The sequence below is a fragment of the Homo sapiens genome, chromosome 2, assembly GCF_000001405.40.
Source record: "Homo sapiens chromosome 2, GRCh38.p14 Primary Assembly".
In the NCBI taxonomy this organism is placed as follows: domain Eukaryota; kingdom Metazoa; phylum Chordata; class Mammalia; order Primates; family Hominidae; genus Homo; species Homo sapiens.
This window is the reverse complement of record NC_000002.12, coordinates 63,664,423-63,687,100: the sequence shown is the minus strand read 5'-3', so window position 1 is coordinate 63,687,100 and position 22,678 is coordinate 63,664,423. Positions and strand designations below refer to the sequence as shown.

The 22,678-nt window shown below is 40.1% G+C and overlaps 1 protein-coding gene and 1 pseudogene across 5 annotated transcripts in view, besides 1 other annotated feature; one reads left to right on the top strand and one right to left on the bottom strand.

Moving 5' to 3' along the window:
* WDPCP (WD repeat containing planar cell polarity effector) overlaps positions 1–22,678 on the top strand; it is a 721,268-nt gene that overhangs the window by 153,726 nt on the left and 544,864 nt on the right. Inside the window, exon 3 of one of the 5 annotated variants that reach the window (XM_047444626.1) lies at positions 8,848–13,234. The exons of the other annotated variants lie outside the window; for them this stretch is intronic. The gene's annotated coding sequence lies outside the window, so the exon portion shown is untranslated. The remainder of the gene's footprint in view (positions 1–8,847; positions 13,235–22,678) is intronic. 5 annotated transcript variants of the gene reach the window in all.
* On the bottom strand, positions 2,355–2,830 carry RPL27P6 (ribosomal protein L27 pseudogene 6; annotated as a pseudogene).
* Positions 18,363–18,864: an enhancer, noted in NCBI's record as "NANOG hESC enhancer chr2:63895371-63895872 (GRCh37/hg19 assembly coordinates)". NCBI's record gives its function as "activates a minimal SCP1, AML or CMV promoter by ChIP-STARR-seq in primed H9 embryonic stem cells {active_cell/tissue: H9 hESC(primed)}" and the evidence as "EXISTENCE:reporter gene assay evidence [ECO:0000049][PMID:30033119]".

Genomic DNA, 22,678 nt, shown 5'->3' with positions numbered 1-22,678 from the left:
ATGAGTATTTGTGCGATTTTTTTTAGCTCATCAGCTATCATTAGTGTTAGTGTATTTTATGTGTGGTCCAAGACAATTCTTCTTCTGATGTGGCCCAGAAAAGCCAAAAGATTGGACTCTCCTGAATTGTCTTTAATCCATTTTAATTTGGATTTTGTATATGGCAAGAGATAGGGGTCTATCTGAATATGGATATACAGTTTTTTCAGCACAGAATGTGGATCTGAATATGGATATACAGTTTTTTCAGCACTATTCATTGAAAAGACTGTCCTTTCTCAAGAGACTGTATGTTCTTGGCAACTTTGTCAAAAATGAGTTTACTAAAGATGTATGAATTTATTTCTGGGTTCTGTATGCTGTGCCTTTAGTCTATGTGTTTGTTTTTATGCGAGTACCATTCTGTTTTGGTTACTATAGTACTGTAGTATAATGTGATTCCTTCAGTTTTCTTCTTTTTGCTCAGGATAGATTTGGCTATTCTGGGTCTTTTGTGGTTCTGCTTAATTTTAGGATTTTTTTTCTATTTCTCTGAAGGATGTCATTGGTATTTTGATGGATTGCATCAAATCTGCAGATTACTTTGGGTAGTAGGACATTTTAACAATACTGATTTTTGCAACCCATGAACATGAGATATCTTTCCATTTTTTAATGTTCTCTTCAATATCTAGAATCAGTGTTTTATAGCGTTCATTGCAGAGATCTTTCCCTTTTTTGGTTAAGTAAATTTGTAGGTATTTTATTTGTAGCTATCATAAACAGGTTTACTCTCTTGATTTCTTTTTCAGATTATTTGCTATTGACATATTGAAATGCCACTGATTTTGTGTATTGATTTTGTATGCAACTTTACTGAATTCGTTCATCAGTTCTAATAGTTCTCTGGTGGGGTTTTTAAGTTTTTCCAAATATAAGATCATATTTGCAAACAAGGATAACTTGACTTCTTCCTTCCACTTTGGATGCCCTTTCTTTCTCTTGTCTGATTGCTCTAGTGAAGACTTCCAGTAATATGTTCAATAACAGGGATGAAAGTGGGCATCCTTGTACTGTTCCAGATCTTAGAGAAAAGATTTTCAGTTTTACCCCATTCAGTATGATAATAGCTATGGTTCTGTCACATATGGCTTTTATTGTGTTGACATATGTTTCTTCTGTACCCAGTTTTTTGAGGGTTCTTATCATGAAGTTATGTTGAATTGTATCAAATGCTTTTTCAGCATCAATTTAAATGATCATATGTTTTTTGTCCTTCATTCTCTTGATGTAATATGTATCACATTTATTTATTTGCACAAATCAAACCATTCTTGCATACCTGGGATAAATCTCACTTGGTCATGATGAATGATCTTTTTAATGTGTTGTTGAATTTGGCTTGCTAGTATTTTCTTGAGGATTTTTGCATCAATATTCATCAGAGATATTGGCCTGTAGTTTTCTTTTTCTGATGTGTCTTTTCTGGTTTTTGGTATCGGGATTATACTGTCGTCACAGAACGCATTTGGAAGTATTCCCTTCACCTATATTTTATGGAACAGTTTGAACAGGATTGGTATTAGTTCTTCTTTAAATGTTTCGTAGAATTCAGCCGTGAAGCCACTGGGTCCTGGGCTTTTCTTCGCTGGGAGACTCTTTTACTACAGCTTCGTTCTTGTTACTTGTTATTGGTCTGTTCAGGTTTGGATTTCTTCATGGTTCAATCTTGATAGGTTGTACATGTCTAGGAATTTGTCCATTTCTCTTATATTTCCTAATCTAGTGACAAAAGTTGCTCATAGTAGCCACTAATAATCCTTTGAATTTCTGCTCTATCAGTTCTAATGTCTGCTTTTTCATCTCTGATTTTATTTATTTGGGTCTTCTCTCTCTTTTTCTTAGTCTGCCTAAGGGTTTGTCAATTTTGTTTATGTTTTGTAAAAAACAGCTTTTCCTTCCATTAGTTATTTGTATTGTTATGTTCATTTCATTTATTTCTATGGCCTTGATCTGTATTATTTCTTCTACAATTTTGAGTTTGGTTTGCTCTTTCTTTTCTAGTTCTTTATGATGCATTGTTATTTGAAGTTTTTCTTTGTTTTTGGTGTAATCACTTATAGCTATAAACTTCCCTGCTAGTACTGCTTTTGCTGTACCCCATTGGTTTTGGTATTTTGCATTTCCATTTTCACTTGTTTTAAGACATTTTTAAAATTTCCTTCTTAATTTTTTCATTGACTCACTGGTTATTCAGGAGCACATTGTTTAATTTCCATGTGATTGTATAGTTTCCAAAATTCCTATTATTATTGATTTTTAGTTTTATTGCATTGTGATCAGAGAAAATGCTTGTTACTATTTCTTTTTCTTATTTTTTAATTTTTAATGACCAAAACAAAGCATCTAAAACCGCAGCTTCTGGAAGAACCACTTGTTCTTGCCTATCTTGTATCTCTCTTCAAACTTGACCTTGACCTCTCGTCAGGCCTTGCGTTTAAGAGCAGGATCTCTGAAGACATCCTTACTGATGACAGTTTTGTTCAAGGGGATATCCACAGAGTACCTTGTGGGCATTAGGTGATTATAGTTATAAACTCTCACAAAAGACTTGATCTTTGACCTCTTGGCGATCTTCTTCTTGCCCATGACAGCTATCACTTTGCGGGGGTAGCAGTCAATTCCAGCCACCAGAGGTGGCTGTAGGGGCGATCTGAGGTGCCATCATCAATGTTCTTCATGATGATGGCTTTGCGTCCAGAGTAGTGTCCAGCCAGGACAAGCGACACCTTCCCAGGTTTCATGAACTTGCCCATTTCAGCAGCAACCACTTGGGCCTACAGCAAAAAGGGCGTTTCTTACTATTTCAATTTTTTGAATGTTTTAAGACTTGTTTTGTGACCTAACATATGGCCTATCCTTGAAAATGATCCACATGCTGGGGAGAAGAATACGTATTCTGCAGCTGTTGGATGAAATGTTCTGTAAGTATCTACTAGGTTTATTTGGTCTATAGTGTAGATTAAATTCAATATTTCTTTGTTAATTTTCTGTCTGGAAGATCTGTCCAATGCTGAAAGTGGTGTGTTGAAGTCTCCGGCTATCATTGTATTAGGGTTAATCTCTCTCTTTAACTCTAGTAATATTTGCTTTATATATCTGGATGCTGCAGTGTTGGGTGCATATATATTTACAATGGTTATATCCTCTTGCTGAATTAACCCCTTTATCATTATATAATGACCTTCTTTGCCTGTTCTTTTTTTTTTTTTTGAGATGGAGTCTCACTCTGTCACCCAGGCTGGAGTGCAGTGGCACAATCTTGGCTCACTGCAACCTCCGCCTCCTGGGTTCAAGCGATTTTCCTGCCTTAGCATTCCAAGTAGCTGGGACTACAGGCGCATGCCACCGTGCCCAGCTAATTTTTGTATATTTAGTAGAGATGGGTTTTCACCATGTTGGCCAGGCTGATCTCCATCTCTTGACCTTGATCCACCCGCCTTGGCCTCCCGAAGTGCTGGGATTACAGATGTGAGCCACTGCGCCCAGCCCTTTGTCTCTTTTTATAGCTTTTGTCTTGAAATCTACTTTGTCTGATATAAATATCATATTATGATAAATATAATGTGATAAATATCATAATATGATATTTTAAATATGACATTTTGTCTGATATAGCTATTCCTGCTCTCTTTTGGTTTCCATTGGCATGAAATATCTTTTTCTATCCCTTTATTTTCAGTCTATGTGCATCTTTATAGATGAAATGTGTTTCTTGTAGGTAATAGATTAGTGGGTTTTGCTTTTTTTATCCATTCAGCCACCCTATGTCTTTTTATTGAAGAGTATAGCCCATTTACATTCAATGTTACTACTGATAAGTAAGGACTTGCTTCTGACATTTTGCTATTTGTTTTCTGGTTGTTTTGTGGTCTTCTCATCCTTTTTTCCCTCCTTCCTGTCTTCCTTTTAGTGAAGGTGATTTTCTGTGGTGGTATTATTTACTATCTTGCTTTTTATTTCTTGAGTATCAGTTGTATATTTTTTTGAGGTTACCATGAGGCTTGCAAATACTATCTTATAATCCATTATTTTAAACTGATGACAATTTAACACTGATTGCATAAAAAACACAAGCAAAGAGAAAACTAATAAAAACTATAACTTCATTTCTCTGCTTTTTAACTTTTGTTGTTTCTATTTATATCTTAGTGCAGCATCTATGTCTTAAAAAGTTGTTATAGTTATTGTTTTTGATTGGTTCATCTTTTAGTCTTTCTACTCATAATATGAATAATTTACCCAACACAATTACAGTGTTGTAATATTCTGTATGTTTTTTGTTTCTTTTCTCTTGCTGCTTTTGGGATCCCTTATTTATCTTTGATCTTTGGGTGCCTTGAGGTTCTTAAATCTGCTTGGTGTTCTATAAGCTTCTTGTACTTGGATATTTATATCTTTCTCTAGGTTTAGAAAGTTCTCTGTTATTATCCATTTGAATAAACTTTCTATCTGTATCTCTTTCTCTGCCTCCTCTTTAAGGCCAATAACTCTTAGATTTTCCCTTTTGAGACTATTTACTAGATCCTGTAGGCATGCTTCATTGTTTTTTATTCTTTTTTCTTTTGTCTCCTCTGATTGTGTATTTTCAAATAACCCATCTTCAAGCTCACTAATTCTTCTTCCTCATCAATTCTGCTATTAAAAGATTCTGATGCGTTCTTCAGTATGCCTATTGCATATTTTAGCTCCAAAATTTGCTCAATTCTTTTTAATTATTTCAATCTCTTTGTTAAATTTACCTGACAGAATTATGAATTCCTTCTCTATGTTATCTTGAATTTCTTTGAGTTTCCCCAAAATAGCTATTTTGAATTCTCTGTCTGAAAAGTCACATGTCCCTGTTTCTCCATGATTGGTCCCTGGTACCTTATTTTGTTCATTTGGTGAGGTCATGTTTTCCTGGATGATCTTGATGCTTGTGGATGTCTGTCAGTGTATGTTTGAAGAGTTAGGTATTTGTTTTGTCTTCGCAGTCTGGGCTTGTTTGTACCTGTCCTTCTTGGGAAGGCTTTCCATGTATTCAAAAGGACTTGAATGTTGTGATCTATGTTGTATCTGCATTGGGGGCACCCCCAAACCCAGTGACACTGTGGTTCATGCAGACTTGTGGAAATATCAGCTTTGTGGTCTTGGGTAAGATCTGGAAGAATTCTCTGGATAACCAGGCAGCGACTCTTGTTCTCTTCCTTTACTTTCTCTCAAACAAAGGGAGGGTCTCTCTCTGTGGTAAGCCACCTGGAGCTGATGGTGCAGTGATACAAGCACCACTGTGGCCACCACTGCTGAGACTGTGCTTGGTCAGACTAGAAGCCAGCATAGTATTGAATCTTGTCCGAGGCCCTCTGTAACCACTGCCTCCCTACCGCCTATATTCACTCAAGGCCTTGGGGCTCTACAATCAGCAGATGGCAAAACCAGCCAGGCCTGTGTCCTTCCCTTCAAGGTGGTGAGTTGCCCCAGGGAAATCCATAGGTACCATAGAGGTGTCAGGGACTAGAGACAAAAACCTTAGAAGTCTGTCGGTGTTCCATTGTTTGCAGCTGAGCTGGTACTCAAACCAAAAGATGCAGTCCTTCCCACTCTTCCTACCCCTTTCCAAAGGAAGAGGAGCCCCACTCCATGACCACCACCACCATAGGCCCATGGGGAGTACTACCAGACTACCACCAATATTTCCTTAAGGCTCAAGGACTCTTCAGTCAGCTTGTGGTGAATGCTACCAGGCCTGTGACTCACCCTTCGGAGCAGTGGGCTCCCCTCTGCTCCACAGCAGATCCAGAAATGCCATCCAAGAGACAAGTCCTGGAACTGGGAACTCTAAGAGCCCTGTTGGTGCTGTACGTCCCTGTGGCTGAGCTAGTAGCTAAAGTGCAAGACAAAGTTCCCCTCAGTTTTCCTTCTGCTTTTCTCAAGCAGAAGGAGCCTCTCACCATAGTTAATGCAGCTGGGAATGTGCTGGGTCTCACCTGAAGCCGGTACATCTCGGTCTCACCCAAGGCCCATGCTGTACAACTAGGGTATCATTGCTGGTTTCAGGGCCCAAGGTTTCTTTGGTCAGCAGGTGATGAATCCTGCCAGGACTAGGTCCTTCCTTTCAAGGCAGCAGGTTCCCTTCTGGCCCAGTGTGTGTCTAGATATGTTGTCCAGGAGCTAGGGCCTGGAATGGGTGCCTCTCAACTCTGCCCAGTGTGCTATACTGTGGCTGAGCTGATATCCAAGATTCAAGACAAAGTCCTCTTTACTGTTCCCTCTCCTCTTCTCAAGTAGAAAGAAGAAGGAGTTGCTTTTGTTGCTGTGAGCTTTGCTGCCTGGGGTTGGGGAGAGGTGGCACGAGCACTTTTTTAGCCACCCCAGCTGGTGTCACACTGGGTCACATGTCCCCCAAGTCCCACTGGCTCCAAGCCCAGAACAGCACTAGGAATTGCAGTCCTTGTGGCCTAGATAGCCTTTCATGTTTATTTAGGACCCCAGAGACTTCATTCAGCCTGGAGTGACAAGGCTTGTGGAAACTCAAATTCTGACCACTGGGATGGGTGATTCCCTTCTGGCCAGGGCTGGTCCAAATGCTCCCTCTGTGGATGAGTGTTGGCTGACCTCAACCTGGTTTTGCTTTCCACTGTGACAGGGCAGCACTGAGTTCAATGCAGGGTCTCACAATTGCTGTGCTGTCTCTCCTGTAAGCACACAGATTCTCCATGCTGTGCAGCCGCTGCTGAATGGGGGAGGGGGTGGCATCAGCTATTCAAGACTATCTTTCTTACCCTCTTCAGTGCCTCTTTCAGCTATGTAAAGTTAACTTTCAGCTATTTAAAATTAAAACCAGGTACCGTGATTGCTCACCTGATTTTTGGTTCTTACGACAATGCTTTTTTGTATAGATAGTTGTTCAATTTGGTGTTCCTCTTGGGGAGGTGATCAGTGAAGGCTTCTATTTAACCATCTTTCTCCACCCTGTCTCACTATGAGTTTTGATGGGGATATTCAGACCCTAGCAAGGGATGAACTTGGCCTAGAAGTAGCCAGTGTAGAAAAGATGAATGAAAACATAGTTTTGCTGAGAGAAGTGGTCTCTGCCTGCTGCCTACACTCTAAATTGCCTGCAAATGTTACAGTTTAGAACCTTGTAGTGGGGGCTTTAGGCCTTTCTCAAGCATTTTCCCTTAAAAGCTCTCTACCAGTGAGAAGAAAGAGAGGCCAGTCCCTAGGGAAAAAATTGATTAAAGGTGATATCTTTCCATAGAGGGCTATTGATTCAAAGTGCTCCATACAGTGGCCATGAAGCTTAGGGACAGAGACTATGTCCCTAAGCTATGAGTAACTATGGTTACTCATATCTGGGATCAGCAAGAATCCGACTAACTAGAAACCTACTAACGAGGTCGTGGAAGCTGCAAAGAAATGCTGGCCTAGCTTGCTGTCAGCCAGTGACTAACTGCTCAGCCCTCAGGCTCCTAAATCCACCTCAAAAGGAGATGGTTTATAAAATCTGTATAGGAATGGAATGCTCTCCCAAATATTAATAAGATGTGGCTATGGGGGATAATGAGAAGATTCTCCCATAGGGCAGAACCAGGACTGTCAGACAGATGGCTCAACCAAGGAAGTGACTCCACTGTCAGCATAGAGTACTCACCACTCCTGCCCAACAGGATTCTGCATGTGCCATGACTACTGACAGCTCCGTGTGTCATGTTCATAGTGTAGTCATTCTAATTCTCCACACACTGTACACCGAGAATGTAGAAGACAGATTAATTCCATGACTCCATGGGGAGCCCATATAGGAACTTGACAGGAATAAAAATCACTCAAGCTGATTGCAAGAATTGAGTTTAACCTGAGGGAAGGGATGACTCCCTCTAAACCAAGTATATATTTGATTAAAAGATTGAGTAGGGGTATTGGGAACCTAAAGAGATGAATTGAGGCAGATTATATAGGCCAGAGTCAACTGCAGAAACATAAACTAGATATTTTAAGCAAAGGTATTTAATGCACGGGATTAGAAATTTACGACATTTTAGGTAGGAGCAAGCTCCAGGCTAGGTCTTCAAAAATAAATCCTAGAATGACCCTGCGGAAGTAGCCACCAGAGATGTCATTTCTGCCACCATCATTGGAACTGTTGGTTTCAGAAGCATGTAGCAGGGATCAGGTAGCTCCGGCCACCACCGCCACTACTGCTAGCTCTAGAACTATGCTGACTCTCTTAGATGTGCATGCTCTACATCAGGCACATCCCTACCCATGAAGCTAGCGACTTGCCACTGAAATGCTGGCACAGAAAAAGCCAGTGCTTCTCTGCCTGACTGTGCCTGCCAGAAGAAAGAATCAAAAGAAATAGCAGAATCGCTTTCATCCTATCACTTCCAGGTCCCAACTCTTGCACAAGTGCATCTGATTAGCAAAAGCTAAATCACACAGGAACCTAGTTGGGAAAAGTAATTTTTAGCTCCCTAGCCTCTGCAGTACAAAAAGGTGCACTAAAAGGAGGGTAGAGTCAATGTTTAGTGAGCTAGTTGACCTTATCCCCCATGCAGGTACTGTAGGCTGGCTTACTTCAAATTAATTCCCTGCCCCATTCCCTTTTGTCTTCCTGTGCATTAGAGGCTGGAAAGATAAATCAATCAATTCTTAATCAATTCTCCAACCTCTTTTGCAATTGGGGTGCCCTGTGAAACAGTCTGACCAAGAGGATGTGAGTAGCAGTTTGATATGTGGTTTTGGGAAAGTATTGTTTCCCCCCTAAATGGAGAACAAATTAGCTGATGCAGCCTTTTGCTCTTCCCTTTTCTTCCTGCCTAGGATGAGACTGTGATGCCTGGATGTACAGCCATCTGTTGACCATAATACTGAAAGCCAACAAACTAAGAACGATGGAGCAGAAAGAAAAAGGCTGAGTCCTTGATTACTTTCGGCAACTGCAAATACCATAGATTTGGCATTTGCATTAATTTCTTGTTATATTAGAAAAATGAACCCCTATTTTCAAGCTTTATTTAGTTTTCAAATACTTGCAACCCACATTCCTAAATGATACACAGACTTTCCTGTCATAGAAAGATTATGAAGATGATATATCTTATATGAGAATACTTTTTTGAAGTGTTGTTACATAAACAAATATTTTGAAGCATCTACCAAAAATATATTTAATAAAATATATACAGGCAATATTCATGTAGATTTACCCACGCATTTACCCTATCCATTGCTTTTTCCAAGTTTCATCTGGATTTGTTTTCCTTTTGCTAGAGAACACTCTTTCATATTTCCTTTAGTGACAAATTCTGTCAATTTATAGTAGTCTGAAAATGCTCTTATTTTACTTCATTTTTGAGGGATATCTTCATCAGGCATAGAATTCTAGGTCGGTAGTAATTTTCTTTTAGCATTTTGAAGATATCACTGCATTTATTCTGACTTTCCTATTTCTGTTAGGAATTCAGCTATAAGTTTAATCTTATGGCTGTTTCTTTATAGTTTTTATTCTGTGGCTGCTTTTAAGACTTTTTTTCTTTGATTTTTAGTACTTTTATCGTCACGTGCATAGGCATGGTTTTCTTTGTACTTTTTTCTGCTTTGAATTTTTTTCTTTGTGGCTTTTCTGTTTGTATAGCTATTTTAACTATGGTTATTTTTAAATCTTTGGCTGATAACTTCAGTATCTGGATCTTCTGTGGATCTGTGTCTATTATCTGTTTTTATTCTTAGTTTTGTATGAAGTCTTGTCTTGATGTATATTGAGTATGAAAAACCATAGAGATAATTTGTGATCCTGAATGATGTTATCTTCTTTCACAGAGGATTTACTTTTGCTCTGAAGGGAATGGGCCTAGTGATAATATTAATCTATCCAAGTATTGAAATTATTAAAAGTGCCTTCATTCCCTGTAAGTCAGTGGTTCTCAATACTGGTTGCACATTAGAACCACACAGGAAGCTTCAAAAATATGCATGTGCCTGGACTCTACTTCAGAGATCTGATTCAACTGATCTGGAGTGAAGCATTGATTTTTTGTGGGGGAGTAGTTTTTAAAAACATTTTTTTGAAATAATTATGGATTCACAGGAGGTTGCAAAAAATGCACTGAAAAGCTCACGTAGCCCTTCCCTAAAGCTTACCCCACTGAATGCAAACATTTCACACAACTATAGTACAATGTCAAAACCAAAAAACGAACATTGGCACAATCCATAGAGCCTATTCAGATTTTACCAGTTATACATGGACTTGTGTACATATGTGTGTGTGTGTGTGTGTGTATGTGTAGTTCTATGCAATTTTTTCACATCTGTATCCTCCCTAAAAAGCACCACAAATGAGATACTCAACTATACCGTCACTCCCTGTGTTATTCCTTTATAGCCATACCCATCCTCTTTCTTTTCTAACCCCTAGCAACCACTGATCTGTTCTCCATTCCTGTAATTGTTCCACGATTGTTAGACAAAAGGAGTCATGTAATATGTATCCTTTTTTTTTGTTTTTGGTTCTTTTCACTCAGCATAATTTTGTAGAGATTTTTTGAACTATGGGGCACTGATAAATTTTTTAATCTTTGTAGGTAATTCTCATGTTTATCCATGATTGAGAACCACTGCTATAAGGGCTGGTCTGTTTCTGGTTCACTGTTACTCTTAGATCATAGCCTTTAAAAGTCCCAAACAAAAGGCTGAGGTGTTTTCCAGGGTCACTCCTCCTTTGTGGGCTTTTCCTAGCTCAAGAATCTTGCCAAAAGTTCTGCTCAACTTCTCATGCACTTAGATACCTTTCACTTTCAGAATTAGCAATTGCCTTGAAAGAAATGGAGACGAAATGCCCGGCTCCCCTTTGTAAACTTTCTTCTTCTTTTGGATTCTTGGCCCTGTAAATTCTCATTCCCTCAGTGGCTTTCTGATGTCTTTGAACAGATGTTTATTTTATATTTTGTCCATTTTGTGTGATTCTTATCAGTGCCAGGATTACTCCAAAATAACCTAGCCAGCTATTGCCAAAGATAGAACTCTATCTAATAATATCTAAGTAAAAGTAAAAAAGATTAGTCCTAGAGAAAATATATAGACCAAAGGGAAAGTAATCGTAAACTATGAGGAAGAATTGGTCATAGAGTATCTGATCATAAGGTTTTAATATTTGGTATAACTAAACCATAAATTTGTCTGTGTTGTATTGGGCAATGCTTTGTTATTAAATTATAGTTTCTATTCATCACATCACTACATTACACTTAAATAAATGATATTATTTCATATATTTGGTCTTGAAGGGGAAGATGGCTATCTCTTAAGACAAAACATGGCAACTGAATTCCTAAATAAATTATTAAACAGATTGAAACAATAGGCTGAAAACATTTTTATTTGCAAAACTTAGTATTTGTTAAAAGAGAAAACATTTTCTTACCATTCCACACTAGATTTAAATAGAAAATGCCAAATTTGGAGGACTAAGCATAATTTATATAAAACTGGAGTTGAAAGGAGTGCATGACAACATATAATGGAGATTTTTCTGCCCTTGCCACCCCCCTACCCCGCGAAGAAAGGAAATGAGAGAGCTTGAACAGCAGTTAGAGGATATTTTGGAGGGAACCAAATAAAGCATAGGCTTTTCACTTTAGAACCATTCCCTTACCTGCTCCATTATATACATGCCACCCACCTGGACTTAAATAAAGCCCAGATGGAGAGAGTATGATAGAAACACCCAGAGAGCTTTGAGGGAATCCCAGCCAAGGAGACTGCAGAACTCATAGGGAAGCCTAGAGTTAAGTGAGTTCAGCCAAGATTCTGAGAAACTCACTGCCTGGGTGGTAGAAGAGTCCCAATGAAGGAGGCATGTAGGCAGATGGGCCTAAGAGGGGCTTGGCAGAGTCTCACAATCCTGAGTAGTTCCAGAAGGCACTGAAAATTCCTGAGCTCCCAGCGGAGGTTAAAAAAAAGTGATGAGAGAACCAGAGGACAAAAGGAAGTTTGGGGTGGGGTTCAAAAGGAACCCCAAGACCAGGGCAGGTGAGAACCAGTTATACTCTCATGTAGACATAGGCTGGCATAAGAACAAGAGGCTGCTGCCCCATGCCAGGACATCTGCTCTGTCCCCAGGATAACTTAGATCACAGACACATACATACCTGTCAAGAAGGTGGGTATTCTCAGATCTTAGGGTGGACCAGATATTTACTTACAAGGAACTACATTTTAAACCAAACTTACTGAGCTAAAATATGAGGCAAGATTGAGTATTTTCCGTCATCAAAGAAAATGAGAGTCAAAATTTGAATTCATTTATAACACACATATTATATAAATTTTAAACCATTGAATGCTTTTTTTTTTTTGTAGCGTCAAGAACACTTAACATGAGATCTGCCCCTTAACAAGTTCCTAAGGGTACATAGAATACAGTATTGTTAACTATAGGCTCGATATTACACAGCAGATCTCTAGAACTTATTCATCCTGCATAACTGAAACTTTATACATATTGAAGAGCAACTCCCCATTTCTCTCTGCCCCAAAACAAAATTATCATTCTACTCCCTGCTTCTTATGAGTCTGACTATTTTAGATACCTAATATAAGTGGAATCATGCAGTATTTATCCTGCTGTGCCTGGCTTATTTCACTTAGCATAATGTCCTCTAGCTTTACCCCTCTGTAGCTTTTCTTTTTCAGGAATGTTTTGACCCTTGCTCCTTTTTCATTCTACCTGATAAACTTTGAACCAGTTTGTTAAATTTTCCAAAAACCCATGGCAAGCTTTGATTACTCTACATAGGTCTATATAGTAATCTTGGGAATTTTTTAAATGAAACAAAAAAAAAGTTTTAACCTGTTAAAGTTGCAGCCAAAGGAAAAAGCAAATACGTAAAATCAATCGCATTGTTCTTTTTATCCATGAGGAGAAAATATTTGTTTTCCCCAGACCAATGTGGCCTTGGGACTCTGATGTGGATTTGGCTCCTCGAAACCAGAGTTGTGATCAAGAACAGGGCAGGGCTGCCTGAGGCTTTGGGGACATGAGACAAATACAGAAGCAATGACAGTATTCTGGGGAAAAGTCAGACCTGGGAGCCAATAAAGCATACCCAGCTTCACGTCCAGCAGGAACTAGGTAGAAAGGCAAATTCCACAGCAACTGGAACTGGAAAATGGAACAGGTTCCTGAGGACAATTAGAAAAACATTTGGTAAGATTGCCTCAGATGGGGATGCAGAGTGCCAAGTCCTTATGAAATTTTGCCTGTATTTGGGGAAGAAGTTTTTATAGGGACCAAGTTTGTTGAGACACTTAGGAAGACTTTCTCAAATAAGACTTTTTATAGACTGTACAGATATATGATGGAAATGTTTCTTATCCTCACAGCAAATGCTGTAAATGAGTAATGGGTTTTTGATATGCTGTTATGGGGCAGGGGCATGGAGATGTGCTTTTCAGGTGTCCTGTTAGAAGAACCTCTTGTGGAGAGTGTAGCTGACCAATAGCCTCCAGCCTCTCCCACCAATGACTGGTGGCACAGTGGAGATACTCAAATCAGGCCATTCCTGCCTGATGGGGATTCCTTTAATGGGCAACTCTGGCTCAGGGACTCCCATCAGCCTGGCCAAAACTTGCTCAGAACTGCAGTATTTGAGACTCTTCCTACCCAATCTTCTTTCCTTCTCTCTCTCCTTTCACATGTGTCAAGCTGATATTGTGGTCTGAAAACAATTCCTACTTCAGCTCCCTACCACTTTATCCTTCACAGGCATTTTCTCCAATAAATCTCCTGTGTATCTATCTAATCCCACCTTGGCCTCTGTTTAGAGGAGTCAATTTGACACTATTTTCTAAGTGGTTTGGTATCTCCTCTATACTTTACCCCCACCCACACACATCTGCATACTTGTACATTTATCAAGCACTTAGGTACCTTATGCACTTAAGGTATTATGCTAATTAACACATATTTATATTATATTTAATCCTTGTAAAGAAGTGCATAGTTTAAAATGGTTAAAATGGGCCAAGAGCAATGGCTCACACCTGTAATCCCAGCACTTTGGGAGGCTGAGGCAGAAGGATCACTTGAGCCCAGGAGTCAGAGACCAACCTGGGCAACACAGGGAGACATCCCCACCCTGTACCTACAAAAAAAGTTTTAAATTAGCCTGGCATGGCGGCACATGCCTATGGTTCCAGCTACTCAGGAGGCTGAGGTAGGAGGATGGCTTGAATCCAGAAGGCTTCAGTGAGCCAGGATCATGCTACTGCCCTCCAGCCTGGACAACAGAGTGAGACCCTATCTCAAAAAATAAAATAAAATAAAATAAAATAAAATAAAATAAAATAAAATAAAATAAAGGCTTCAGTGAGCCAGGATAATGCTACTGCCCTCCAGCCTGGACAACAGAGTGAGACCCTATCTCAAAAAAATAAAATAAAAATGAAATAAAATAAAAAATAAAGTAGTTAAAATGGTAAATTTTAGGTTATGCATATTTTACCACAATTTTAAAAAGTAGAAAATCTTGGTCTCTCAAGAAAATAAAATGTCTTCTTGTTTAGACATTTATATTGTTGGAAATTTTCTTTAAACAGGAGAAAACACTATAGTTTGCATGTTTTCTATGCAAATATTTCTATGACAATTTCCCCAAGTATGTTTATTGTGTTCACATCCTCTGATTTATATAGTAATTATAAGCTCATTAAAGTAATGCTTCTCAGAAGAACAAAACAAAACTGAGGATATAGCCTTAGAGTAAACTCAGTTCTTTCTTTTTGATCCAAGATGAGCTGTACAAGTATTCAGCTTTCTGACAGATCTAATGACAAATTTTAGAATCTGCAGGATTGGCTGGACAAACAAGACTCCCCGTGTGTCATTCCAAATAGGCTTCCTCTCTTTGATGGGGCAGTTCAATGTCGAGGCCTCCAAAAAGTCCTAGAGGGCAGGTACTCTATGTCTTGCTTAGGTTAGACCCCCTATAATGTAGAGATCATACATGTTAATGCCACAGTTGACTTCTTTCTAGTGGAATTTGAGGAGTAAAATCAAGCCTTTTACTTGGAAAAATGGATATCCCACCTCCCCACAGAGACGGACTGAGAGAGTGCCCACTGACAAAGCCAGAAAACTGGGTTTATTTGAGCATGGGAGTGACTAGCCAGGTCACCGAAGTGTTTACATCACACTCAGAGCATGGTAAGGGTCTGTTAGTATAATTGAGTAAGCACTGATTTAGGCCTTGCATTGTATATAACGAGTATTGAGAGCTGGGATTTTATGTTTCTGCTAGTTCTTGGATATTATATTAGTCTGAAAAGCAGGTACCAATTTGGGATTAAATATGCAAAGATTGGCGGGGTGTGGTGGCGTGCACCTGTAATCCCAGCTACTAGGGAGGCTGAAGCACGAGAATCACTTGAACTTGGGAGGTGGAGGTTGCAGTGAGCCGAGATCGCACCACTGCACTCCAGCCTGGGTGACAGAGTGAGACTCCGTGTCAAAAAAAAAGGCAAAGGTTATATTAGGGGGACCACTTGTGAAAGAAAATGAAGAGGGAGCCAGACAAGGCTGGGTGAGCATCGGCTAATAAAGCAAGTCTGACGCTGGGTGAAGGAGATAGAGAAGGTAGGTTGGGTAGAAGCATCCTACACTGCTGGAGTTTAAGAAAACTTCAGTTAGGCTGTTTGGGAGTCCCTAAGCCAAAGTAGCCGTCAGAAGACTCCCGTGCCTCTGAGAAATGGGACTGTTAGTATCCCTGCTGCACTTTGTCATTGGCTAGGAGCAGCCTGTGGGAAGCATGGCCTGGGAACAAACGTGATGATGGATTTCAGAGTCAGGAGCTGGACCCTTAATCAATTACACTCTATGTAGTTGGAGGTCTAGTAGGCACACCTCATGGCAGTCAGAGATAGGAGAGAATCATGCCAGCAGAAGAAAGAGGATCCCAGCTACCCTCCTGGGCAGTCTAGGAATTACTCTAGCCTCTCTAAAAATCTCAAAGCTGAGCCTGAGTAGGGACAGAATTAAAGGTTCGAACTGTGCAGTGGGATTCCCCTCTTTCATTCCCTTCTCTGAGGAATACTTTATGTGTAGCAGTGGCAACTATGCCTGTTACTGGTTCTCCAAAAGCTGAACTTTTTATTTAGCCTTCCCTTTTCCCTAATTTTTTCCTACTTTTTTTTCCTCTCTTTCATTTCATACTTGTGCCTTAGATGTGCTCCCACTACCCCAAGGTAATAAGAGATTGCTACCCTTGTTATTTACGATGTTAACTTGGTCTGAAGGTGAGTGTGATTAGTAACCTCAGATGCCATTTCTGACCAGGTCCCAGACCTTGAGGCAAGTTGGCAAAGGGCAGATGGGAACATAGTCTCCAGTAACTGTTGGTTCTCATCACCGCTTTCCTCCATCTCATTTTCTCTCTTCCTCCCTGTTTTTTATACCATATACACTTTACCTCTATACACACTCACCCTTGGGCACTCACATTCCTATAATCTTCCTGCTGCATTGCTATTTTGCTCTGTCTGTAATTTTCCCTCATGGTCCCAGACCTGGCATTCAAGGGCAAGAAATTAAAAAATCTAGAAGCCACCTTTCCCAATGTACTTGGTCCTGGTACTTGTAGCTACTAGATCCCAGGATCACACTTTCCTTAGGTTCTAACTCTGTTCAAGATTCATATAGATTCTCCATGGTGGGCAGTCACTGGGATGGGAGAACAGAGGAAAAGGGGCTCTGTAGCCAGAGCCAAAGTATACCAGACAGCACTGGCTGTGTAGCAACGCCACGACTGCAGCAGAACTGAGGGAAGACCTGGTGATATAAAAGCCTGGCACCTTGAAAGAGCTCTCTGGAAGTCAAGATTCATAAAATTACATCATGTTAGAGCCTTTGAAAAGCTCTCCTCCCCTATGCAAATGTTCCATTTTATCAACGTTACAGATTGTGCTCTCTGTGGCTGAGATATCAGAGAAATGGTAAGCTTATTTGTTATTTTTATCAATAATACCTAACAATTATTATCATTTTCTTAACTACCTCATTTAATCCTCACAGCAATCCTAAGGGGTAGATACCATTATCTACCTTTCTATAGTTGAAGAATATGAGCCTTATAGAAAATAAAAAACTTCCCTGAGTTCACACAGCTGGTAAGTAGCAGACCAGGATTCAAACCAGGAGCTCCATGTACTGTCCTGCAAGCTGTGCACTGGACAAATCCTGGGGTTGCTATTCACAGACCATGACGTGGATGGTGCTTCCTGGAGTTGTACAGTGCAGGAGCCCTGACCAAGCAAGAATGCATAAGCACAACACTGGGGTTTTGAGCAAATGCATGTAACAAGAGAAGAGCTTTTTAAATGTATCTAACAAGAGAATATACTCTTTAAATTAAAAATTAGGCTGGGCACGGTGGCTCACACTTGTAATCCCAGCACTTTGGGAGGCTGAGACGGGTGGATCACCTGAGGTCAGGAGTTCAAGACCAGCCTGGCCATCATGGCAAAACCCCATCTCTACTAAAAATATGAAAATTAGCTGGGCATGGTGGCACGTACCTGTAATCCCATCTACTCGGGAGGCTGAGGCACAAGAATCGCTTGAACCCAGGAGGTGGAGGTTGCAGTGAGCCAAAATTGCACCACTGCACTCCAGCCTGGGTGATAGAGTGAGACTTAGTCTCAAAAAAAAATAAAATAAAATAAAATAAAAAATTAGACATTGTAGAAGAATCGGGTTGCTTAGATTGCATTTAAGCACATATCCATGTTGTGCTTAGACATTTTACTACTTTGTACTCTGCAGACTTTAGCTGCTATTTATATCCTGCCAGATTTCATAGTTTTACCTTCTGGATTTCTAAAGAAAATGGGTAGAGTTCAGAGAAGCTAATGACGAATCTTTCTCCCTAATGTTTTGCCTGAGTATGGATCTTGGGACATCACTATCTACTTCATACCAGAAAAGAACAGATGTGTTACTGACCTAAGCATTCGACAGAAGTTTACCTAGCAATGCTAAGTAAGTGTTAGTGTTTTGTGTAACTCGGTGCTGTTGACCAGGGTCTAGCCAAAAGCATGCTGGCAGTAGTTCCCAAATCCTGTGCTTTCTCTCCTGGGAAAGAAGGGTTATTCTAGAAAGCAATTTAGTGTCCCTAAAATTACACCAAGCACTAATATATGGGTGATATGCCAAAATCAGATTTAGATCTAATTCCTGCCTATTAGAGTCTGTCACAAAATAAGAAAAGATATAAACCTAGAAGAGAACCAGGAGTGTACAGAAAGGAGGAGGGGAGAGAGGGAGAAAGTTGTGTAGAAACAGAAGAGGAAAGAATCGAAGTCTTCAGTTTACCCTGGAAAGCGGGGGCAGGGAGTAGTGTGGGTGATAAATCTTCTACCATCCTATTCTCACCCCATTTGTGGGACTGCCAGCAGGGGAGGGAAGCACAGACCTTGGTCTTGTGTCCTGCCCATGAATATATATTTACGTTATAAATAAAAAGTATAATTTCACACTTTTGGTCAGTACCCTGTTTTACTAAAAGTACAGATCTGGATTTTCTTTTGGGGTAGACGGTTCTTTTGGGGTTGGGTTAGGAATACTCTGAATGGTTCTTTAGTTATGCTAAAACCTAATCCAGAAAAAACAGGTATAGAACAATATGAGCTAAAACTTTCCTGCTGGTTATTGTAAAACAATTGGTTTATGGAGAGAATCTTTTTTGTTGTCTTCTCCATTTTTCTGGGAACACTGAACCTGCAGTTTTGAGGCTTGGGGAGTGGTGGGAGAGGGGATGCAGGAGAGAGTTAGAGATGACCCCAGCCAGGGAGAGATGGCCAGGGACAGCCAGGGACTCCTGCAAAGGAGGGTAGCCAGTGGGCTCTAGGAACAGAGACATCTGACATCTCACTTTGTGTCCTGTTCTGCCGTATAGTGGCCACCTATCTGTTGCCATTCCACTCACCAAAACCCTTTAAAAGGCTTTTGTTAATCATCACAATTTAGTATTAGACTTGAATTAGCACTCATTGCCTTAGGGAATTCCAGTTTTAGAACAAAGAGAACTGGAGAAAGGGCCCAGCATCCTGGAGAAGCACTAATCAGATAGAGAAAAGTGGGGAGTAGGAAGGCATCCAGAGTGTGTGAACATTCCCTGGCAGCCCTAAGAAACATATGAGAAGGGACTGGAGCATGGGGTTTGAGTTACTTTATTTGAATATTAAAGGAAGGAAACCTGGATAACATGAAGACTACTTGGGTTTCCCTAGCCAGAATCCAGAGGGTGCAGCAAGTATTAGCTAAAGCCAGCAGCTCTTCCTCCTGGGATATCATGGGACCCTATCCCTATATATTCCCTGTTCCTCTGCATTCTCCAACCTACCCTGCAAAAGAGACCCACAGAGGCTTTCTAGAGTTTAATGTAGCTCTAGAAGAAGAAGGAAAGAGAAGAAGAAAACATGATAACAGGGAGAGAAACTCCAGAAATGTTCTGAACTGCTTTTGAATGTGCGTAATATAACTCCACCTTGAAAAGTGGCCAAAAAAACTGAACAAACAAAAACTGGCAACAACAAAACAACCAAATCCACAAGCAATTAACTATTACTGTTAAAATGCTAGCAAAACATCATTTCAGAGTTCCATCCAGAAGTCACTGGATTGCTTGTTCAGGTTTTTGCAATGACTTTGCATGTGGTTTGAAGTTCATACCTATCCCCAGGATCTCTGCCAGCGCTGTTCTGCCCTAGAGGACAAACCTATGCCAGCCTCACCCCATGGCGAATAAATGGGTGTGTGAACATCACTTGCCAAATTCTGAAATACAACCATGTCAGTGAGAGACCACACACAAAAGTAACAGACAAGTTTGTTCAGGGGCCCACACATTTTCATAACAGTTTTCTTGGCATATACTTGACATAAACTGCTCTTATTTAATGCATATAATTTAAGTTTTAATGTATGTATGCACCCCTGAAATCGTCACTACAATCAAGATAGAGGACCACCACTTTAAAAAGTGTTTATGGGTGTTTCCAGGAGATGGTTCCATTTAGCAAAGTATCTCATCAAATGAAATAAACTTCCCCAAAAATATTTAACGAAAAGCATCTGCATTGTGATTACTTAAGCTGCTCTTTTTTATGGGTCTGTTGGGCTATATTGGTGGGAAATTTGACAAGGTTCCAATGCTGATTTCCTTGATTCTCCAGCAATGAATGTCTGTGGAATTGAGAGTGTGGTGTGGACATATTGACATGGGGTAGGATTTGTGGTAAGGTTCCGACACGTTCAGCATTTCCACTCCCCATGTTAAGCAGATGAAAATGGTGGGGTAGAAAGAGAAGGAAGTGAAAAATGCCCAGCACTGAGAAAGCTTGGCCATAGCAGGAACTTCAAAAGATCCTGGCAGCCAGGTGGTCACACCCTGGGAGAATCAGTCATTAGCACACAGGACTAAACTGTTTGCAGCCTGAAGGCAGCGGCACAAAATTCAGTTCTGCAGGATTATGCGTGAAATGAATTCACCAAAACAGTAGGGAAGTTTGAAAAGGAATAAAGCATTTCTTTCAAACTGGAGTTTTAAACATACACGGAGAACCAATTCCATGTTCTCAGTCACACATCTCTGCTTTCAGAGCTTCTCTGTTTCTGAAATACAGCAACTGACCCTAGCAAAGTGAAATGAAAACACACAGCAGGCAGTGAAATCAGCCTTCTAAATCCTAACTCCTTCCTGCTAGCAGTAGAGCTCAAAAACTATTTGAATTTGCTCTATTTGAGCTCTTGCATTTCAGAAGAGTATCTCCAGGCAGAGGACATATTTCATTTTCAGGAAATGAAAAGCATTTCATTTTCAAGGAATGAAAAAATGTCTGAAGTGTTCTATTACTCATTTAAATAACATTAACATTCAGGAGGGATATATGTAAAGGTCCTTAGTATCTAAAATTATGTCTTCATTTTGAAACACAGAAGTTTCAGTGTAAATATCCTACCCTGAATTCCTCAGAGTAACAATCACTATGGCAATACCACCACATGTTGTGCAGATGTCTGCCCAAAATCAGTTGTTGACTTAAACCACAATTCCTAAAGATTTGGATTCACACGTAGGAAGTGACACCACCAAACCATAAAATTTCTGTTTATAGTATCAAGTATCTTGGTAAAGGCTATGCAGGGATCTGCCTTCCTGTGTAGGGAAAGTCTACCTTTCTTGACACATCAAACTTCTATAGAGAATTGTCTATGCTTATTCCCTCATGTCCTCCCCTAAGCCCTTCCTCCATGTCAACTTCTATAATATATGTGTACCAGCACCATGCTACTGAAATTGTTCTTGCCAAATCTCCAGCCACCTCCTAGTTGTCAAATTCAATAGTTTATTTGCAGCCAATATCCTTCTTTACCTTTCTGTCACATTTGTGCAGTTGACCACTGCTATGGGTTGAATTGGGTCCTCCAAAATTCACATGTTGAAGTCCTGACTCCTAGTATCTCAGTATGTGATCTTATTTGGAAGCAGGATCATTGTATAATAGATGTAATTAGTTATGATTAGGTCATACTGGAATAGGGTGGACCCCCATATCAATATGACTGGTGTCCTTATAAAAAGGGGAAATTTTGAGACAGACATACACAGAGTGAAGATTGTGTGAAGAGATACAAGGAGGATGCCATGTGAAGGCAGAGATTGGGACGATGCATTTACAGGCCAAGGAACATCAGATTGCCAGCAAACCACCAGATGCTAGGAAAGAAGCCTAGAACAGATTCTTCCCTCACAGTTTTCAGAAGAAACCAACACTACTAACACCTTGATCTTGGACTTCTAACCTTGAGAACCATGAGACAACGCATTTCTGTTGTTTGAGCCACCCAGTTTGTGATAGTTTGTTACAGCAGCCCTACTGAACTAATAGAACCATAATTCCTTTAAACTCTCTTATCCTAGGCTTCTGATAGAGAGAGCACTCTCCTAAGGGATTCTGTCCAGCTCTACAATCATTTATTTCTTCTCAGTCCATCTCACTTTCTCTATCTGCTCCCTAAATGTATGTTTGCTAGAATGCCATCTTCATCCTCTCCATGCAGAGGCAGTGTAGTGTAGTGGTAAGAGCATAAGTCCTAGAGTCAGATCTCCTTGTTGGGTGACCTGGGGCAATGTGTTTGATCACTCTGTTGATTCAGTTTCCCTACATGCAAACCAATAATTCCTACTTGAAAGGGTTATTCTAAGAAGTAAATTATTATATATGTATATAAAGTGCTGAACATATAGGTGCTCAACTAACTTGCTATAATTATTATCTTCTCTTCTTATTTTCACATTTTCTCTCTCATAATCTTAGCTTCTATTCTGGTAGTGGACATTTGTTATATCTTTTGGCTACACTGCCCATTTCACCCCCTTCCCTACATTAACAGCTTCTGCCTCCTGTAATAGACGATAGACTGCTAGTCATGTTTCCAGCCTCACTTGCAGCTATGATGCAAGCATTTCAGTTGTACCCACCATAGACTGAATTGGGAGCCGGTGCAGAAAGAAGGAGTCCCTCATGGAGCTCTTTTGCCAAGGATGGAAGCAGCACCTCCAGTATCCAGGGGCAGTTGCAGCAGAGCTGATGG